The sequence below is a fragment of the Homo sapiens genome, chromosome 8 (genome assembly GCF_000001405.40).
Source record: "Homo sapiens chromosome 8, GRCh38.p14 Primary Assembly".
Classification (NCBI taxonomy): Eukaryota; Metazoa; Chordata; class Mammalia; order Primates; family Hominidae; genus Homo; species Homo sapiens.
The window spans coordinates 29808790-29829703 of record NC_000008.11 but is presented as its reverse complement, the minus strand read 5'-3'; the positions used below and the strand labels follow the sequence as shown (position 1 = coordinate 29829703).

The 20914-nt window shown below is 44.9% G+C and overlaps 1 long non-coding RNA gene across 1 annotated transcript; it reads left to right on the top strand.

Moving 5' to 3' along the window:
• Positions 1-1199: 1199 nt before the first annotated feature.
• LOC101929470 (uncharacterized) lies at positions 1200-14700 on the top strand. Its single transcript, NR_125817.1, has 3 exons — positions 1200-1292; positions 7790-8274; positions 13412-14700. It is a non-coding gene; the product is annotated as an uncharacterized LOC101929470 (long non-coding RNA).
• The last annotated feature ends 6214 nt before the right edge of the window (positions 14701-20914 follow it).

Below are 20914 nucleotides of genomic sequence, written 5' to 3'. Positions count from 1 at the left end.
GGGTCTGGGCCCATCTTGACAGTAGCAAGGTAGGTGTTTGGAAACCTGTCAGGATCCCTCAGATTCCTTCAATAGGGGAGTCTCCCAGCACCCCGAGGGATCAAAGTGGTGAGCAAAATTGCACAGTTCTTTTCTATCCTGCTTCACTGGAACGGACAAGCAAAGGACTGAGAATCTTCAAGCAGGCAGGCAGCTAAGGTTGCAGGGTAGCATATTATCTACAACAAGATCATCTCATTTTAAATTCGTTCTTTGACTCTTTTACCAGGTTTTTTTTAATTTTTCTTGTCAGTAAAGCCCATAAAATGTAGAGTCTTATCAATAGTATTCAAAGCAGATTTAAAATGTAATTACCCTTTTCTCCCTGCTAGTACAACCCAGCCTGAATCATCTCATCTGATTTAAGAAATAATCTTGTTAAGCTGAAAAATGAAACTCTCCCAGTTTTTTCCTCCTCCCTTTGTCCCTTTTTTCATTTTTCCTTCCCTTTTCTATTTATTCACTCTGAGCTCTCTATCCAAAAGGCATTTGTTAAGCACTATGCCAATAATTGGTGGTATAAAGATGAATGAGAACCATCCTTGCTTTTGAGATGATCACTGTCTAGTGGGGGAGGTAGAAATAAAAACAAATCTTTATAAAGCATCATGGTAAAAATGGATTCAAACTAAATAGTTCTGGGGAAATTGAGGCAGGGATCTCAAGAAAGGTCACATTCTGCAGGTTCTTGAAAGATGAGTTGGAGTCTTCTAAGCATACACAGGGCTCTAGGTGGGGAAAGTGTCCAGGGAGTGAGACAATATGAGGATGATAAGAATAGGACTTCGAGGTGAATCCAAGACAATGTCTACCCGGGTCCATGCTGTTGGACTCCTTTATTGCATCCATTTCCTACACAATCAAGCGAGAATTTTTATTCTCTTTTTCTATATTCTCAGAAATCCACCCCCACTGCCTTCCATTGCTTGCCCAACACTTGGGCTGATGTCTTTGTCCTCTGAAGCATCTTTCCGATGCATGGCAGCCTCTCTCCTTGGGCATGGCTGACCTTGGCCTCATCCAGCTCTCCATCCTAGCTCGGGGCTGAGGGCCATGAGCAATTCTCTGATGAATTCGTATGACCCAGAAAGAGCTGCAGCAGGAGCCAGCTCCGTGTCTGAGGTTTAAGTGAAATATCGAGCTGTGATTCACCATTACTCAGAACCTCGTCAGTTCATAAATTTAAAGCAACTCCATTTCCTTTGCTTTTGAACAATCCAAACTAGATGGTGGATATACATTGGAACAATCAGGTAGGATAACAAGCTTAGACCTGGGCAGGTTTGTTTCCCATTAGGCTGATAAAGGAAAGCTTATGCTTTTGTATACCTATGTAAAATAGGCATGCTGACGTCCTTTGGGAGAAGTAGGAGTGAAAATGTGGCTGCACTGCCGATAATATGGGAGGAGGATGAAAATAGCAGATGTGAATTGTGATTATGGCCAACAGAAATAGGAAACTGCAGCCAGGTCATCTGCCTGTTAACCAGGACTGGCCTATTAGCTGTCATTAGCCCTTCTCCAGGAAACAATTTGCATCCTTTGAAATCCTTTTAAAATTGGATTTCTGCCCACAGCCCTATCACGCTGCTTTTTGTCATCGATTAAAGAGAAAGTGGCCTGTGAACTAGTTCTCTTTGTGGGCAGAGAGTGCTATGGCCTGGGTGACAATGGGCAGGGTCACTTGTCCTAGCAACAGTATGGCAATGGGCTCATATTATCACAGGGTTGAAGTCTCAAGAGGGCATCCTGTCCTGTATGCCCCGCAGCAGATTTCACCATCCCTCAAAGCTGTAGACTTTCTGCCAGAATTAGACAATCTCCCAAAGAATTCCTTTCCAGGGACGGAGTAATCTTCAAGTGTAGAATTTCTTTGTATGATTCCTTTGGTTGTTTTCAGTCTTGAAGATGGCTCTGAGGAATATATAATTGGACATTCTGAGGATTAAGCTTCAAGACTTGAGCCTCCTAGCCAAGGAGTATTAGCCATTAGAGGCAGGTCACCATGCTGGGTGTCCCTGTCCTAAAGCCCCTGGCTTCTGTCTGCTGGGTCACTCCGAATCCACTTCCTTCTGCTCAGATTGTGTGAATTTATTTATTTATTTATTTTAGAGACATGTTCTTACTCTGTCACCCAGGTTAGATTGCAGTGGCGCAATCATAGCTCCCTGCAGCCTTGAATTCCTAGGCTCGAGTGATCCTCCTGCCTCAGCCTCCTGAATAGCTGGGGCTACAGGTGTGCACCACCTTGCCCAGCTAATTCTTATTTTTATTTTTTGTAGGGACAGGGGTCTTGCTTTATTTCCTAGGCTGGTCTCAAGCTTTTGGCCTCAAGCGATCTTCCTGCCTTGGCCTCTCAAAGTGTGGGATTACAAGTGTGAGCTACCAAGCCCAGCTTGAATTTTGATTTTTCCTTTTTCAAGAGTAGTCAGGCCCATTGCAAGAAACACAAGATCTGAGGCCAGAATGCCTGAGTCAGGGCTGTGCTCTTATGGAAGGTGTACCCAGGCCAGCTTCCCTAACATCTCTGAGCTCCAGGTTCTCTCTCGTTTCTTCCCTTCTTTATGGAGTTATTATGAACCTATAAAAACCTATAAGGAATGCTGAGAACTTTTACAAGTGGACCATGAAAGACATTTAAAGAGCTTTTCTTGACCTTCTGCAGTAAGGGTTAAAACTCAAGAAGGTGTCTCTTTTCTTCAACTCTGTCTGACACAGGAATCTCTAGATGCCTTCATTTAAACATTTCAGACAAAATCTTTATGATGTTTTACCACCTTCCCCTTCCACCACTGCATTTCTGCTCAGCTTTTAAGATCGACTCCCTCAAATAAGGCCTGCCTTTCATGTTGAACCTGCAGAAATCTATATCCTTCCTGATCAACACTACTAGAATGCCATCGTCCTTAGCACATATTTTAGGACCTGGTTGTTTCTGCTTGTGTTACTCAATAGTTCTCTCAGATTTTTAGTTTTCTCTCCTCTATCAGAGAGTGCATCACCAGAGTTCACCTTTACAAAAGCACTTATGGTGTGATGGGGAACTTTCATATTTGGGCTCTATTTCCTCACTAGCATACAGGTGCCTTGAGGGAAGGCATGGATGGGTCATATTCATTTTTGTGTTTCTGGTGCCTGGTACACAGTAGGTGCCAACAAATATTTGTTGAAATTAACTTGTAAACTTCATTTTGATCTTGCAAATTACTTTACAACCCTGAAGACAGATGTGAGAACGATTTCATTGCAAGATATCCTGTTGCCTTTGCATTGTGTAAATGAGCTGGGGTGGGCAGTTTGGATGAAAATTCAGGAACTAGCACAGCCATAGAAAACACTGCCCCAAATGCCATATATTTTGATAGCATCCAGATTAAGAGTCAGCCAGCTGGGAGTGCAGGAATGCATTACCCAGGAAGACAATCTATATACAGGTGGTAGAAGCTAAATGTGTATGTTGATTTAAATAAAATTATGCACAAGCCTGATAAGGTGGCCCATGCCTGTTATCCAACCACTTTGGGAGGCTGAGGTAGGAGGACCACTTGAGCCCAGGAGTTTGAGGCTGCAGGGAGCTATGATCACACCACTGCATTTCAGCCTGAGTAACAGAGTGAGACCCTGTCTCTGAAAAAACATTAGGCACATTCTCTTTTGAACTTTGAATTATCTTGCACATGCAAGTGTGGCAGTTGCAGTCACTGTCCCTGGAGACTCCTACAGTGTCTGCTTCTGCTGTGATTCTCATGTCCCCTGCCCCACCCTCACCCATGATCTCATAGACTCAGAATGGTACAACTGAGAAGGTCTGTGGCCAACAATCCTAGGTGGCCCCAGTATTCAATCTCTTCTTCTTATTTGGTAATAGAGTTTTTATCTGGTCACATAGTCTCCCAGACACCTGGGAGGCAATTGTAGCCATGTGTCCAAGTTCCGAGGCACTAGTATAATTTCCCTAAAAAGACAGAGTGTGGCTTCTGCTTCCTTTTTCCCCATTCCAGAGGACAAGACCAAACCTCTTGGTCTCAGATGACAATTCCCCACTCCAGAGGACAAGACCAAACCTCTAGGATGACAGAGCAAAATAACAGGTGCCTGATACCTGAGCCCCACCGAGACATCATGGAGCAGAGCCATTAAACCCAGCTTCAGCTTTTGTGTGTGAGACAATGGTCAAGCATTGTCGTCTTGGGTCTATTTCAGCAGCCAGACTTATTTTTAACCTAATGCAGGGGCCATGGAGATGGTTTAGGCTTATCTGTTGCTTTAAAGATGAAGAACTGAGATCCTAAGTGGCCAGCCTGTTTTCACAGTGCGGTGGGGGGGTACCTGAGACTAAAAGTCCAGGTCCAGGGTCCAATCATAGCTGTGAGCAGCTCACACTCAGGTGTGAACCACACGGTTTCTCCACCAGTGAGGATAAGGGAAGAAGGGGCTCTAAAAGATTTTGCAAAGTACTTTACAACCCCAAAGACAGATGTGAGAATGATTTCATTGCGAAATATCCTGTTGCCTTTGCATTGTGTAAATGAGCTGGGGTAGGCATTTTGGATGGAAATCCAGGAACTCGTATAGCCATAGAAAACACAGCCCCAAATGCTATATATTTTGATAGGGTCCAGATTAAAAGCCAGCCAGCTGGGAGTGCAGGAATGCATTACCCAGGAAGACAATCTGTATACAGGCCAGACGTTCTTAGAGAGAAGGGAAATAGATAATACGTCTTCTCCTAAGAGGAAAATAGGATTTTGAATGGCATTTAAGTTTGGGAGGTAATTTAGCACAGAGGCTACATGGGGCAGAGTTTTTGCTATTAAAGAGAGGATGGTGGAGAGGGTAAGAGAGAAGGAATCTACTTAGGATGAGGTCTAGCACCCGGGTGAGGCCAGGCCCACCAGTAGCTCCATCCTACAAAGACTCTTCTCCTGTTATACAATTGTTGTACAATTAGGCCAGAGGTGAGTGTTTTCACCAGAGTATGTTTCTATGGAGGATCTTGTAATTAGGCTGTTTTGTAAATTACAGATTCTGTATACGAGCTAGAGAGATGTCCCATCACAAAATTATGTAATGATAGCAGGCTACGTGTTAATAAGACTGAAAATACTTGAGGTGAGCCAACCAGGTGGGCAGAAAAAAGGCAATGTGGTCTATGGGAGAAGCTGTGACATCTGAATCAGTTTGAGGACTCAGCTGAGGTCACATGACCTCTCTGTGCCTGGAACCTTCTCTGTGGCTCTTGTCTTGCCCTGACACTGTTTGTTGTGCCTGCTGTGCACCTGAAACAGAGGGGCTTCCGCAACAGGGAAAATCTAGGATTTGCTTTGACCATATAAAAAGCTCCTAGAACTGCAAAGAACCTAATAACTCACCAGTTCAAATCCCACTTCCTTCTTCTTCTTTTTTTTTTTTTTTTAACACAGAAGAATCTCAGGCTTAGAGAAATAATACATTCAATTCCCAAAGCAGGTCAGTAGAAAATCAAGAAAGTCAAGGGCTCCTGATGCCAAGGTGGTTTTCATATAACCCTAAATTCAAATAAGGACTTAGCCATCACCAACACAGTTTAGAGTTTAATTCTCTTTAAAAGAAGCAAACATATATGGTAATCTAGATTGGGACTGAAACAAAGGGGGTAAGATTCACTTACACACATGGAGAATACTCCCTTAAAGGGTTATGAAAATACACTGGCTGGATGTAAACCTTGTAGAATTGAAACCAGGTTGTCTTGGGCCATGGTCCTGAGCAAAGTGATGTAGTGAAGAGCAGCTATACAAAAGTATATGTCAAAGTATAGTAGCTTTGCTTTATTGGGATAATGAACTATGTGGGCTGGGGTGAGCGCTCTCTCTCTCTCTGTCTCTCTCTCTCACACACACACACACACACACACATACTCTGTGACTTGGCTCATTAATAAACTATGGCAGTTCCTCTATGTGTAGGCCAATGGCTTTGGAAATGAGAACATAGTAGTCTAAAGAGGAAGGTAAATGTCTATATGGGAGGCTGAATATTAGTCAAAAAAAAAAAAAAACACAAGGGTTTCAGTCTTAGAAACCCAGGGATCGAAAGGTTCTTGGGAAACCACTCATGCTGGACTAGGGATTGAGGCAGGTTAGAGACAGGTAAACGGTGTGGGGGCTAAGATAGGGTGTACTAAAGAGAAAAGGAGGCTCAGTTATCTAGAAAAGAAATTTTGAATCAGGGAAGGAAAGCTTACTCTGGGCGTTGGTTAGATTTGAGGACTAGGATGGAAGAATAAACACCATCATCTCAGTAGGATTTTTCCCTACAGCTGGTTGAGATGGGACTCTGTCTCTCTCTCTGGAGACATGTGCTTGGTAACCTGTATGTACTGTGTGTCCTCAGTCTATACACATTGGCTACTTATAATAAAATGGGCTGAATATACCCAGGTGACGTCTAGAATTCTGCTGCCGCCGCAATGGATTTTTTAAACATGCATTTTTTATTGTGGTAAAATAAACATAACATAAAATTTACCACTTCAACCTGTTTTAAGTGCACAATTCAGTGGCATTAAGTACATTCACAATGTTGTACAACCCTTAGCACTATCTTTCTCCAAAACTTTTTCATCATCTCAAATAGAAACTCTGTCCCCAGTAAAAACACTCTATTCTCCCCTCCCCCAGACCCTAGTACCCTTTAATCTACTTCTTGTCTCTATGAATTTGCCTGTTCTGGATATTTCATGTAAGTGGAATCATATAATATTTTCCCCTTTGTGTCTGGCTTCTCTCACTCAACATAATGTCTTCAAGGTTCACCCATGTTGCAGCATGTGTCAGAATTCCATTCCTTTTAATGGCTGAATAAAGTCATCTGTATGTACGTGCAACATTTTATTTATCTATTTATCTGTGGAAGGACACTTGGGTTGTTTCCACCTATTGTGAACGGTGCTGCTATGAACATTGGCATACAAGTATTCGTTTGAGTTCCTGCTTTTAATTCTTTGGGGCATATACCTATAAGTGGAATGTTGGATCATATGGTAAATCTATGTTTAACTTTTTCAGGAATCATCAAAGTGTTTTTCACAGTGGCTGTGCCATTTGACATTCCCACCATCAGTGTACAAGGGTATGGTAGCTTATTTTTATGACTTACGTAGGTATCAGACAGGATTTGGTGAGGAACACAGAAGCCACTGTATGTTCTGCACATAAAGGGTTTAAAAGTCAAGCAGGAGCTTATACACAAGTTAGAAGACTTAGGAGACTGCAGATGAGAGAAGCTGCTGCCAGCATTTGGGGAATTGTCCCTGAAAGTCAAAGGAGTTACCCTGAAATCTCAGCCTGCAGCCCCAAAGCAGCTGGTTTTTAAAAGCTTGCCTAGAATTCTTGAGATTCCCGAGGAGCCCCCAACACCAACCGTCTCAGCCTGCAATGATGAGGGGCTTGCCAGGAATCCGCAGGGAATCTCTCATCTGTCCACACATCCAGCTGCAACCATCTCTGAAGACTGATGGCTTCCACTTCCTTTCAGCCTTCCAAATATCATACAAGTTCCTCTCATTAAAAAAAAGCAAACATATACAGAAGGGGGTCTTGGGAAGCACAGTTCCCATTCTTAGAAGGGAGAGGTAGTGGTGCCTGCTGACAACAGCACACATTATACTCTTCTTTATTCTAGAAGGCATTCCAGGGATCTTATAACGATGCATCAAATTTGACCAACAGAAATTTGACAGCATACATTATACTCTTCTTTATTCCAGAAAGCATTCCCAGACAGCTTATTACGATGCATAACATTTGACTAACATAAATTCAAAGTCGAGCAAATGAAGGCAAAAAGGCAGAAGGGAAGAGTGAAAATGGACCCAGAAATAGGGCGAAGCATGTCTGCCACACTCGTCTACCTGCTGACCATGGGTGAACCTCATGGTGAGCTGTTGACCACAGGATTCACCACAGAATTCACTCTCCAGAAGACAAAAACTGCTGTGGAGATTGGAAAATTTATCTTAAAATATTAAGGTCAGACAAGAACCTCTGTCAAGGAACAGGAAGTCGTGCCCTGAGGAGACAAGTAGAGGCTGTAGCCATGGGTGGCTTTGGGGTAGTAGCTGTTGGCTGTGCCTAGAAGGACATCATGAAAGTTGTAAGTGCTGCTAATTGACGTCCCCCAATTCATATGCGGAAGTCCTGGCCCCTAGTACCTCAAGATGTGCTTGGTTTTGGAGCTGGGGTCTTTAAAGAGGTAATTCAGTTAAAATGAGGTTGTTATTATGGGCCCCAATCCAATATGACTGTTGTTTTTATAAGAAGAGCTGATTAGGACACAGACATGTAGAGGAAAGACCATGGGAAGATTCAGGGAGAAGGTGGCCATCTTCCAACCAAGGAGAGATGGGCCTGAAGAGCCCAGCCCTGCTGACACCTCGATCTTGGACTTCCCGGCCTTCAGAACTGTGAGGAAATAAATTTCTGTTGTTTAAGCCACCCAGCCTGTAGTACTATGTCATGGCAGCCCTAGCAAACTAATGTCCCCCCCACATCTAAAATTGGCATCATTTATGGAGATGGAGTTGAGCCCAGATTTCTCTTGGGGGAACATTGTCTTTGGTTTCTAATTTGACAAATGTTTACTGAGTGTAGAACTATGCAGGCCTCTGTAAGGCTCACAAGGAATACAAACAGGAGAAAGTCCAGGTCCCAGCCCTCAGGGAGCTTATAGCCATCTCAGATATTCTCGGGAGAGTAGCAAGCTTAGGTATAAAGGAAGTGTTATAGGAGCGAAGGTGAGGAAGAGACTTAAGGCACTGAGAGGGACAGGCAAGGCTGCAGAGGAGCGGCAAGCATCTGACTCGGGTCTTGAAGGAGAATGAAAAGAAGGCCTTTCTTGTGTGAGTGTGTGTGTGCATGTGTGTGGAGTGTGATGTGAGTGGTGTGTGGTGTGTGTATCTCTGTGTATGAAGTGTGTGTGTGGGGATGTGGTATGTAGTATTGTGGCATGTGTATTGTGTGTGTGTGGAATGTGTGGTGTGTATGGTACATGTGGTGTGTTGTGCATAATGTGTGTGTGGTGTGTGTATGGTGTGTTTTGTGTGTGTGGTACGTGGTGTTGTGTATAATATGTGTGTGGTATGTGTATGGTGTGTTTTGTGTGTGTGGTATGTGCTGTGTGTGGTGTATGTGTGGTATGTGTTTGATGTGTATGTGGTGTGTGTGTGTGTGTTGTGTGTGGTGTGTGTGTTGTGTGTGGTGAGTGGTGCAGTGTGTGTGTAGTTGTGATGTAGGTGTTGGTGTGTGGTTGTGTGTGATGTAGGTGTTGGTATGTGGTTGTGTGTGATGTAGGTGTGTGGTGTGTGGTTGTGTGCTGTGTGTGGTGTGTGGTACAATTAGTGTATGTAGTGTATGTGTGTGTTGTGTGTGGTGCAGTGTCTATATGTGGTGTAAGTGTGTGATGTGGTGTGTAGTGTGTTGTGTGGGTGGTGTGGGTAGTGTGTGTTGTGTGTGCATGGTGTGCGGTATATGTGGTGTGTGTGGTGCATGTGGTGTGTTGTGGGGTATGTGTATGTGGTGTATATGTGTGATATGGGTGTGTGGTGTGTTGTGTGGGTGGTGTGGATGGTATGCGTTGTGTGTGCATGGTGTGTGTGCAGTGTGTGTGTTTGTGTGGTGTGGGTGTGTGGAGTGTGTAAGTGGTGGTGAGGTGGGAGGATTTCCAGGACCTTATTCTCTGTGGTTGCACTCCCAGAGCCAACTGGCAGGACCTGAGGCTGCAGTCCTGGCACAGCAGGAGAGAGCGGAGCACAGCCCGGGTGTGGGTGGAGGGCTGCCCAACCCAGATCAGCTCAGCATGCCATGCTCTGATGAGCGCTTTCAGCCCTGGCATTTACAGTGCCGAGTTTCTCAGGAGCTACCAACAGCCTTTGGACATGCACAGCCCCTTGCCCACCATCCTGGCATGGTATGAGGAGAAGAACATAGGCCACTGGAAGAGGGGGAGGGCAGAGAGGGCACAGGGTGAAAGAGGGACCTCTATGGGGCCCACAGGGGCTGGGGGAGCTGCTCACGGCCCTGCACCCAGGACGAGTCAAAAGATGTTGGTTTAGGCCATCACTGCTGGTCAGGCAGACTAGCCTTGGCTCTGATGACCTTTTAGGGACCTCATGCTTCTTTTGGGATGGTGCATAGGTGTCCCTGCCTGATGGAACCCTCCAGCACCACAGGCATGTGTGAGAGTTGTCAGAGGGGGCAGCAGGCTGATGGATGGCCACACCAGCTGCTCACACAGCGGTAGCGCTGACTTCCTGCCCCTGGGGTAGGCCAGAATTCAATGAGGCTTGGAGAGAAAATCTGCCAGAATGGCTTCCCTTGCCCTTTTATGGGATGATGAGGCCAGGTAAGATTCAGCCATCTCTCCAGGTGTCTGGGGAAGGGTCTGCTCGGTCTCTTGATTTTAGTAGAAATAGCTGCTGTGTTTCTTACTCTGGGCACAAAGACATGATGACCAGCCTTTGGCTGGGCTGACAAAGGATTTTGTGTGTGCGTGTGCACACATGTTGGGGTACAGTGAGTGTCTGTGTGGGGTTAAACCTCTTAATTTCTAGAGGATCCCTCTCCAAACAGATGCTGCAGGCAGGTAGTGTGGAGGGTTTGGCTGGAGTGTAAATGCTCTGGCTGGGTGAGAGTGAGTTGAAGATCAGAAATATATACTTGTTTCAAGTTTAATTTTAAAATGCGGTCTTGCTTTGGGTGACAGGATGATGTCCTCTATGTCTTGAAACAGGGGTGGTAGAGGAGACAGAGAAACTGGCAGGAGAAATTTCCAAAATATTTAGTCATGTACCTCCTTCTGGAAGCCTCCCTCTGCTCCTCAGTGACTGTTGGAATTCCACTTGGCCTCTCTTGCCAAGACCAAGTGATGAACAGAGGCGTCTGGTTGGGAGTTTATGGGCAAAGCTGGGATAGTCAGATGCACAAGCATGGTGATTGAGAGCTTCTTTGAGCATTTCAAAAGGCTGTTGGGTAATTTGAGCCCCAGCACACAGCTGTGTGGGCCCTGAGCTGGGGCTGGCCCCCCGACCAGGCTAGCCACTTTGCTTGCAGGTCAGACCAAGGCAGTGAGCAGGCACAGGGATCTGGAGGCCAGGTGTCCAGCCCTCCCGTCAGTCTCCTGAACAGGGCCTCCTGGAAGTCCCCACCTCCCTGCATCTCACCACAGGGATGGGCACCAATTCACCCCATGACTAGGTGACTCTCGTGAACCAACAACATTTTAGAAACTAGTGAAAGAGAGATGGCTGAAGACACAATGGATTTGGGTGTTGACTATAGTGCCTTTGGGGGCAAAAGAAAGCACAGATAAGTTCAAATGCATCCCCAAGTATTTTTTTGTTTGTTTGTTTTTGAGATGGACTCTTGCTGTCACCCAGGCTGGAGTGCAGTGACACGATCTCGGCTCACTGCAACCTCCACCTTGTCGGTTCAAGCGATTCTCCTGCCTCAGCCTCTCAAGTAGCTGGGACTACAAGCATGTGCTACCATGCCTGGCTAATTTTTGTATTTTTAGTAGAGATGGAGTTTCATCATGTTGGCCAGGCTGGTCTTAAACTCTGACCTCAGGTAATCCACCTGCTTCGGCCTCCCAAAGTGCTGGGATTACAGGCATGAGCCACTGCGCCTGACCATTTACAGGGGGAAAAAGCATCTCAAGCAAAGCATCTCAAGCCCTAGGAAAAGCAGCAGTTAAGGACTGACAGGTGCAGCAGTGACCCAGGGGTGGGTTGTCACCATTGAGCTGCAGGACGGCCGGAGAGTCTGGCCTCAGGAGGAGGCTGGACTTGTAACTCACCTCCACCCCCCACACCTGTGCAGCTTTGGGCAGGTTTCTCCACCTCTCCAGATTAATCTGAGAAAGGAAATGAGACCTTTCCCTCCTGAGGACAAAGGGCTGGGTAGTGTCTCTGATGCACCTCCCAGCTCTGAGGAATTTGTGTTGGTGAATTGTACTCACTTTCCTTCTGAGCAACTGACTCTTGTTTCACTCCTGTTTGGCTCCTGAGGGTTGGGGATTGTTCAGAACCATGAGAGGTGCCATGCTTTCCTTATGGAAAATGGAAACAAATTTGTTTCAGTCTGTTTGGACTGCTATAACAGAATGCCACAGACGGGGTACCTTATAAACAGCAGAAATGGATTTCTCACAGCTCTGGAGGCTGGGAAGTCCAAGACCGAGGCAGATTCAGTGTCTGGGGAAAGCCCACTTTTTGGTTCATGGATGGCACCTTTTTGCTGTGTCCTCAACATGGTAGAAGGGCAAGAGCTCTCTTTCAGGCTTCTTTTATAAGGGCACTAATCCTATTTATGAGGGCTCCATCCATGACCTGATCATTCCCCCGGAAGACTCCGCCTCCCAGTGTCATCACATTGGGGATTAGGCTTTTAACCTATGCATTTTGGTGGGATGCAAATATTCAGACTATAGCAGAATCTAAGGTTATGCCACATGACCAGGCAGTGGGGAGGAGAGAGGAGGGGGTGAGGAGAATTTAGGTGATAGGTGAGAATGAGAAGGGAGAGGAGAGGAAAGAAAGAAGAGGGAAAGAGGAGTGGGAGGAGGAAAGAGAGAGGAAGCATCCGGCATCCCTAACAGGGTTTGTTTGGATTGGGTAGTTTGATTGATGGAGTCCTGGGCTGATCAGTATTGGCATCTTATTCAATCTCTACCAATTGCTGATTTTTCTCTGATCAGAGAAAACGATTTGCAGATATGCACAATAGATCCCAAGGAGACGTCAAGGAGAAAGCTCAGATGACTCTATATGAATTCATATCTAGCACCAGAGAAGCAGCTCAAAGTGTGTCTCTGCATAGTCCTGAATCAGCAGCATGATCTTAATACTAGTGATAGCTTCTATTTAATTGAACACACATAATGCGTGATATTCTCTGCAGCCCCTTAGCTAGCATTACCTCATTTAATCCTCACAACAACCCTATGAGGTAGGTATACTTATTGTCCTCATTTGAGATCTGGCTTGTGTGAGTAACATATCCAAAGTCACTTAGCCAATAAGTAGCGACACCTGGATACACGTTTGTCTAACTCCAGAGCCCAAACTATTATTTATGAGACACTATGGGCTCCCTAAGCAAGGATCGTTGTCTCCCCAAGGCCAAGCCCAGGCCTGACATAGCGTAAATGCTTATTGAATGAATGAATGAATTATGAAAGGGCAATGAGGTCAACGATTGTAAGGCTGGTAAGAAAATTTATATCCTGTCCCAGGAATCAAATTGCTTCAATAGATTTCCAAAGCAAGCCCTGAAAACAGAGGGGATTTGTTTTTCAGCAATGTCCATGCATAAATGCAATTTTTTATTTTTAGTTTTGCAACTACAAAGGGCCCAGAGTTTCCCTTGTGAATGAGCTCAGCATCCTCACGTTTCCAAGAGGAATCAACACTGCAATTCCTCGGACCACGGTGGCTCTCTTCCCAGCACACCTTTGCTGTGACCTGCACCCCTGCATTGTCCTCAAAGACACACTAAGAAAACACATTTCAGAAGGAAGGACGTAACGGAGCTCATGATCCAGTTCTGCATTTGGCGTGGCCCCAAAGACACTGTGTGCAGAGTCAGAAATATGCTCCCCAGTTGGACTCCATGGGATACTGTTTCAAAAGAGCTATCATTCTTGTCTGTTTACCACATATCTTGTTCTAATAGGCTCTTCTTTTCCAGAGTTTTTTATTTTCCCTGGCATTTTGTGTTTTGGTAATTGCCTACAAGAATAGTTCTATAACAGAAATCAACAATGAAAACCAAATTACCCCTGCCCACATCCTTTCATTCCTTTTTCATCTCTAATGATATTTTCTGTATGATGACTAACCCAGACTGACGTAATTTATCAATTGATCTTGACGATGTACATTAGAAAATGCATTCTGCAGGCCCCAGCAGGCCATCTTCCATGTGCGCCACGTAGCTTTAGAAAACCTATTAGTGCAACAGAAATATCTAAAGCCCAGCCTTTTTGCTAAGAATATTAGAACTGGTGCTAATTACTTTATTAATCATAAAGTGAAACAGCCGTGCTATGTCACCACAGCCGTAAAATAAGTGGTTTTATGGCAAAAGTAGTTAAAGAGAAAGGACAGATTGGATTTATATACTCAGCTGGTTAAAAAAAAGAAATTATGCATACCAGCAATTTTCTTTCTTTGGTTAAATGTTCATTAAATGTGTACCACTAAAAACCATTTGTAACTAATTCCCTAGTGGGTCCATGCCTTAAAATAATTTATTTTAAAATACAAATTAAGGCTTAAATTTGCCTTTTTATTAAAAATAGGTATAATGAGTCAACATATCTCCTAAGAGAAAGGAGCGTTGCAGACATGCTGATGAGAGGAATCTTGTCGCCAAAACCTGGAGGCCATGCTGGTGTTGGGGACTTAGGCTATCCTGCAGGTGCCTGTCACCATTAAGGGCGGCAGAATTCAGAGGCTTTGGTCCAGGTTAAAGCACAGAGGTGGCCACTGTCTGAAGACAGGGACACCACAATGACCATCATTGAGGGCGATGTTTATGCTTCCATTGTTAGTTTAGATATTTTGTTTTCTTTAAAGTCAGTATTGTCTCTGAGTAAATAAAAACAATCTCCAGTTTCTGCAAGTATGCTTGGCTTTCACACACTTTGCAATTAAAAAAAACTAGGATTCATCAACATTTCACTTTCTGTTACTGATTAAAGCCACTTGTGTGTGTGTGTATGTGTGTGTGTGTGTGCGTGGGCATGTGTGCATGTGATTAGATGGAAGAGAGAGCATTAATGTTTGTTAAGTGCTAATACATTTCAGACACTTTATACATTAATCTATTAATGGCTATCTCATTTAATATTCAAAACAGATGTGTTATAGGTGGCCTATCTCCTGTTTACAGAAAACCAAGGTGCAATAATCTCTCTCTGAAGGTAACTCTGTTGTGGCAGATATGGAATCCTGACTCAAGACTGCCAGATTCCAAAATCCATGCTCTTTATCCTGTACCAGGGCATTTCCAATTAAAATGCAAGACAAAATTACTAAATGCTGAGTGCAGGCTGATTTCACAAATCAAAATGATGAAGTAGATAATATTGTCTCCATTTTAGCACTGGACACTAAAAAGAGGGTAAGTTGTCAGGGTCACATAGTTAGTGAGTGAATTCCAACCCAAATCCATTATGGGAGTCTAGGCCCCCTTGTCTATGGTCTCAGTATCCTCTTCCATCAGATAATTTCCAGCCCTAGGAATTTTCTTCTTGTATTAAATATCTCCTGGCTCAAAGTTAAATTCATTTTCTTTTGCTTTGCCTTTTATTTATTTATTTATTTATTTATTTATTTGAGACAAAAATCTCTGTTGCCCAGGCTGGAGTGCAGTGGCACAATCTCAGCTCACTGAAACCCCCACCTTCTGGGTTCAAGTGATTCCCCTACCTCAGTCTCCCAAGTAGCTGGGATTATAGGCATGTGCCATCATACCCAGCTAATTTTTGTATTTTTAGTAAAGACAGGGTTTCACCATACTGGCCATGCTGGTCTTGAACTCCTGACCTCAGATGATCCACCCACCTCAGCCTCCCAAAGTGCTGGGATTACAGGCATGAGCCGCCATGCTCAGCCTGCTTTGCCTTTTGTGATCAAAAGAAAAAATACCACCATCCTTCAGGTAATCCTATCAACATAGTGTAAACTCTTCAAATTACCCTTCAATGGGTTAAACAATCCCAAATTACTAAGTTGTCTCTTGGTGAAGACAGTATTCCTAGTTACTTCTGACCACACAGAATCAATACAAAGAAACCAGACCAAAGAAACTGCCTCTTAAAATAGAACATGCCATCTTTTTATGTCACAGCTGGGACTAGTATTGTTTCCAACGAACAGAGTGTGGAATTGAGGACTCAACTTAGGTGAAGCTCTGCTACGGAGTAGGCAACTATCAGACGTTGGCTCTTTCCTCTCTCCTTGATGGGCCCACTGGCCCAGGATATGAGGCCTGAGAGATTCCTATAGGAGGAGAGGATGAATATTTTGACAAGCAGGTAACTTTAGAAAGATGTAGGTAGCAGATCTTAGGGATTGGTGTTCTAGAACAGGGGTCCCCAGCCTTTTTGGCACTAGGGACCCATTTCGTGGAAGACAATTTTTCCATGGATGGGAGCAGGGATGGTTTCGGGATGAAACTGTTCCACCTCGGGTCATAAGGCATTAGTTAGATTCTCACAAGGAGTGCTCAACCTAGATCCCTCGCAGGCACAGTTCACAATAGGGTTCATGCTCCTGTGAGAATCTATAGCTGATGCTGATCTGACAGGAGGCGGAGCTCAGGTGGTAATGCTCACTTGCCCGCTACTCACCTCCTGCTCTGTGACCTGGTTCCTAGCAGACCACGGACCAGCATGGTTCCATGGCCCAGAGGATGGGGACCCCTGTTCTAGAGCAAAACTCCAATTGGAAAGTAAGGCAAAGAGACCAAGACAGGAATGTAGCAATAACTCTGGAGTACAAGGTAGGGCAGAAATTAAAGTACACATTCAAGCAAGGATTACTTTCTTATTCCATGCATTACCAAGTCATTTGGATCCTTAACGTCCTATATGGATGTGATAGGTCCCAGGGCCTGGGTTAAGCTTGAGGCAGGACCAGCTGCTTAATTTGTGGGCTGTAGTGCAAAATGAAATTGCAGGCACCTTATTCAAAAGCTAGACAAAAGTGCTGTTAAAGGTTCCAAAATATTAAACTCTTTCTTTTCTTTCTGGTTTCTTTCCCTATTATGCTTTAAAAATTTTTGCTATTTGATATTGCACTCCCTCAGGCATGGGGATATTTGCAAGGGTCAGTATGGACTCTCACAAGTGCCTGGGGACCCCTATTTGTGACTTTGCAGTGTTACCCACTAGCTTCCAGGACAGGACATTCTCTGTCAGCCCCCAGATTGATGTTCTCTGCCCAGCCAGGTTATGGGAGTCAGCCCTAACTCACAGAGGACTGGAGACTCTCAAGGGATCGCAATCTCAACACTGAGAAGTGGTTGGGACCTGGGTTGGGTAGGCAGAGGCTCACACCTGCCTGGATGTGTACTGAACAGCCATGGTACTGCCAGCCGGAGATGAGGACAGCTGCCAGCCAGGGATGGGGACAGCGACCACCATGCCCTGCCCTGAGACACCCCTGAACCTTCCAGCATCCTTGTCTGTGCACAGGTTCTCACTGGAGGCAGAGAGTGATGAGAGAATGACAGCTTGCACCCCGCCCCATCCCCAGCCTAAGTGAGCTCACTGATGCCCCAGGCAGTGGGCAGGATCCCTTGTGGGGTGGGGTGGGGGAGGTGGGGCAAGGGCAGGGCACCAGGACCGGGAGGCAGTGAAGAACCCTTCCCAGGGAACAGGGAGATTGTGGTGGTGGGGCCTGAGTGTGAAACAAGGCTCCCACATCCTAGTGCATTCTTCACTTTCCCGTCAGAAATAGGAATTCCAAGATAAAATTAAGAATTTCAGGATGGTGATCTTAGGAGCTTCCCTTGCCAAGCCGGGAGTTCTGGACACCTGCACTGATTTGTGACCTCAGCCAGCCTTGATTTGAGGTGCAGCCTCAGTGGCTCTGGCATAGATATCGGAAAACCACTGAGCTGGAACACCAGGCAGGTCACAGGGGTTTGAATTTGTAATTCAACATTTCTATTGATACGTGCCTTTTATAAATGCTCCGTGGCCTTTTAATAACTTGGTGTGTTATCTTGCCCAGAGTTTTCGTTCACTATTAATACTGATTCTGTCACTGTTGAGATATCTGACTCTGGACAGACTCTGCTCCTTGGCTTCCTCTTCTCTTTTAGTTCTTATTCTTTGTGATTCTGCAAACTTAGTTTTAAAGCCTCATATTGGATATTAAGACAAACGACATCATACAACGTAGTTCACCCTATCCATTGATCTGTCTGGCTTCTGTGTTTAAACAAAAGGGACTGGCAGTCTTGCCAAATCCCTCACTCACCCTATGTTGTATTTTAGATCATGTTTCAAGAAAGGGAGGCCCCTGTGTCCAGTTATTGATTAGCTGGGGAGGAAAAAAATGGCTTTGCCTCATTTCTTGTTAGGTAGCAATCCACGTATCTTTCCAGTAAGCAGCATGACACTTCAGGGGGCTCTGGAAGACATTTGACACTCTGGCGTCAGAGAGCCAAGGCCTGGGAGGTGTGTCCAGCAGTGTGTGTATCCAGGAAGCAGCAGAGGAACACAGCATCTGACAGTTCTGTCACTCCTGGCTGTGTGACTGCAGGCTAGTCACTTTCTGTCTCTGGGCTTCAGTTTTTCCATCTTAAAATAAAGAGATTGGACTAGGTCATCTCCAGGGTTTCATCTGGCTCCAAAATCTAAGATTTTATGACTGTGAATCAACAACTTCCATCTTCTCAGGGGCCTCCAGTCAAGTCATTCTGGGGATCACAGTCTTTCATAATCTCTGAAGCTTCATTTCTCAAAACAGCTCAGAGCGGGCCTGTCATGGTGGCTCACGCCTATAATCCCAGCACTTTGGAAGGGTGAGGTGGGTGGATCACCTGAGGTCAGGAGTTCGAGACCAGCCTGGCCACCGTGGTGAAACCCCATCTCTACTACAAATACAAAAAATTATCTGGGTGTGGTGGCGGGCGCCTGTAATCCCAGCTACTTTGGAGGCTGAGGCAGGAGAATCACTTGAACCCTGGGAGGCAGAGGTTGCAGTGAACTGAGATGGCGCCGTTGCACTCCAGCCTGGAAAACAAGAGCAAAACTCTGTCTCAAAACAAACAACAAAACAGCTTACAGCACAGTTCCCAGCCTGTTAGAAAGAGGAGAGGCATTGAGGTACATGTCAGGCTCCATCGTAAATGCATGTGAATGGGAAATGGACCCAGTGACTCAGAGCTCGCCAAAGACCCCAGCCCATAAGCAGTCTTCCGACAAGACTGGCATTGCTATTCTTGCCCCTTCAGGCAAGGGTGTTCTGCAGCTCATTGCTGAGTTCATTACTGGAACAATACAAAGAAGCCAACAGTTAATTATACACTGAAGAAGCTCCTTCACATCAGCCTCTACTCAGCTCTCTTTTTCATGCCCTCTGAAAAGACGTAATCATCCATTATAGTCATCACCAGCTTTGTTACTTTGTGTGCCTCTAATTGGCACTTTTCTTTTAGACAGTGAGGTATAGTGGAAAATATGCTCATCGAAGAGACAGCAGCCTGGGGTTGTGATTCTGGGCCTATTAATACTCCATTGTGTAACCCTGAGTGAGTTCCCTTCACCTTTTTGGGTCTTGGCCGTCCAATCAAAAGGAGGGGGTTGGAGCAGATCTAGCTAAGCTTTGCTTCTGCCAGACATTCTGTTACTGTCTCCCCAGATGTGCTCAGTAGCATGCCAGTTATCATGGGAGACATGGAAAAGTAAACATGTGCTCTAGTTCTGGCCCTCAGAAAGTGCTCAGCACTGGGGACCAGGTGGAAACAGAGAAGTGTATCATTGTGCAACTCTTCAAGGGCTACAGGAGTTTCCAGCAGGAAAATTTAATTTGCTAGCTGGAACAAGAGGGAAGAGGCCATCCTGGCTCCACTGGAGAGTCTCATGTTGGGAACAGGGGTGGTAATGCTGAAAGGAAGGGAGAAGTCAGACTAACAATAAAGGCAAACAAGTTTGGACTTCATCAGCAATAAGGCACCAGTGTCAACATTTGACTAGTGGAGTTACAGCATGAGATAGACTCCTTAGAAAATGTGTCAGTTAGGAATGCATTTGGCTGCACCAACCACTGTGGTCTAAACACACCTGGGTAGATTTTTTTCTTGTCTATAACAAGACATCAGTAGGTGGCAGGTACTGGTGTTGGCTTAGCAGTCGGGGTTACTGTGACATTAGAATGCAGACATACTGGTGCCAGGGTTATTTCTGCAATTTCCTTAGCCTTTTACTCATGGTTGCAAGACAGCTGCTATGGTGCCTGCTCACATCTCTACGTAAGCCAAAAAGAGAAAAGATAGAAAAAAAAAAAAAAGAGTGACTGCGGGGGGGTTTTGCAGCAGTTAAGTCATTCCTTTTAAATCACAAAAAACTTTCAAAGAAGCCCCCAATCCCAGACCCCCTAAAACAAAACTAAATTTCTGACTTTGTCTTAAGGGCCATAGCTTGGCTACATGGCTATCTTTGATGCAAAGAGGATTTCCAGCCTCTTACAGAAGTCATTCCCAAGCCTGCTTTCCCTCACAGCCTCCTATTACACATCATGCATTGATTGAAAAAAAATTTTTTTTTGTGCTAGTTAACTGTGAGCATCTTAAGAAACTTCCCACCTTTGTGTCTGGAGCATTAGATGCAATGCTGGGTTCACAGTGATCCTTCATTCACGACTGTGGGTGTGAATGCAGTGAAGACAGCTCGGATGGGGAACTCCCTGCCTCTATTACTTCTCTTAAATAACCAAACGTCTGAAGTGTTGGCCAGAATGTGTGTTAATATTCTGGCCCTATTCCAGCATATTTCATAGCAGCCATTAAAGAATATATTCTTAGGTTTGCACTTATAAAACTTTATTGGCTTAATCCATTTATTATCATACATTTGCAGTTGAAGTCTTGAAGTGTAGCTTAGCTACATAGCTGCACCTACCCATTGGTACAAGCCACAGCATGCAAGTTGGTGAGCTTCTGGCAACAGTTTTTGTTTGTTTGTTTGTTTGTTTGTTGAGATGGAGTCTCGCTCTATCGCCCAGGCTGATACAATCAAGGCGAAACTGTAACTTTCGCCTCCTGGGTTCAAATGATTCTTATGCCTCAGCCTCCAGAGTAGCTGGGACTATAGGCATGCA